We start from the raw sequence: 1,386 nt of genomic DNA, 5'->3' as shown, positions 1-1,386 counted from the left end.
GGGATGTTGCTACCCTGCCCAGCCTGGCCTTGAACTCCTGGGAGTCCTGGGCTCAAGCGATCCTCTGCTACAGCCTCCCTTATAGCTGGCATTAGATGCATGCGCCACCACACCCAGATGGTTCTTAGTTTTATGATAACTATGGGCTATCCAGAAATGCCGCAGAACACTGGAGCAGGGGCACTGCAGGCATTCACTGAAGATTAATCATAAGCCCATGAGAGAAGAAGCTAGAGCAGAAATCAAAAAGGGGGTTGACCGTAGGATAAAGGCCAGGAAACAAAAGCTAGAATAGCACCTTGTATCCTTATTCTTACACCTAAATCCAGCTTTTCTCAATGGAATTTTTGGCACCTAAGATAGAGTTTAATTCAGCAAGTACCGATGTAGGTCCTCTGTTCTACAGTAGCCATCATCTACAAGTCATGAACAACAATCTTAGGAGCATAGGCACTCATTGTGAAGATGAGACATTAACCCTCAAAGTAGGCATAGTATGAGACATTATTTACATTTTTTATTATAGGAATTTCCAAACATACACAAAAATAGACTAACATAAGGAACTTCCATGTACTCCTCACCTACTTCAGTGATCATCAATATATGGCCAAGCTTGTTTTGTCCACCTTCTGCAGTAACATTATCTACTGGAGTATTTAAAAATGAATCCTAAACATCATGTGGCAGTCAAACTAAGTCATAAAGACAGAACTACAGGAGTGCAGAGAGATGGAGGATACAGAGAGGTCTTTATGGAAGAAGTATAACTTGACTTAGTTACTATAAAATCATATATACATATATGGTTTATTTCGTTTTTGCTTTAGAGACAAGGTCTCGCTCTGTTGCCCAGGTTGGAGTGCAGTGGCACGATCATGGCTCACTGCAGCCTCCAGCTCCTGGGCTCAAGTCTCCCAAGCGGCTGGGACTACAGGTGTAGGCCAACATGCCTTGCTAATTTTTTCTTTTTTTTATAGAGACGAGGCCTCACTATCTTGCCTAAGCTGGTCTCAAACTCCTAGCCTCAAGCAATCTTCCTGCCTCAGCCTCCCAAAGCCCTGGGATTACAGCTGTGAGCCACCATGCCCGGCCTAGTTCTTAAATGAGGAGTTAAATTGGCTAAGCAACACCCTTGATCAGCTATGGCAGGCACAATGCTGGAAACTGAGGGACCAAGGAGAACAAGGCTCCTGGCTTTGTGGAGCCTGTAGTGCTGTAAGAGGCAGCAGCCAGCTGGAGAAGCAGGGGGAGATGCTCTCAGAGCATGACAGAGCGTGCAGCCAGGGCGTGAGAAAGGGGCTGTGCAGTTTCATCTGCATCTGGGTAGGTCTGCTTAATACAAACATAATGTGAACCACGTATATGATTTTTTTTTTTTTTTTA

Source organism: Homo sapiens, chromosome 7 (assembly GCF_000001405.40).
Source record: "Homo sapiens chromosome 7, GRCh38.p14 Primary Assembly".
NCBI classification, from domain to species: Eukaryota; Metazoa; Chordata; class Mammalia; order Primates; family Hominidae; genus Homo; species Homo sapiens.
Note: the sequence above shows the minus strand (reverse complement) of the source record.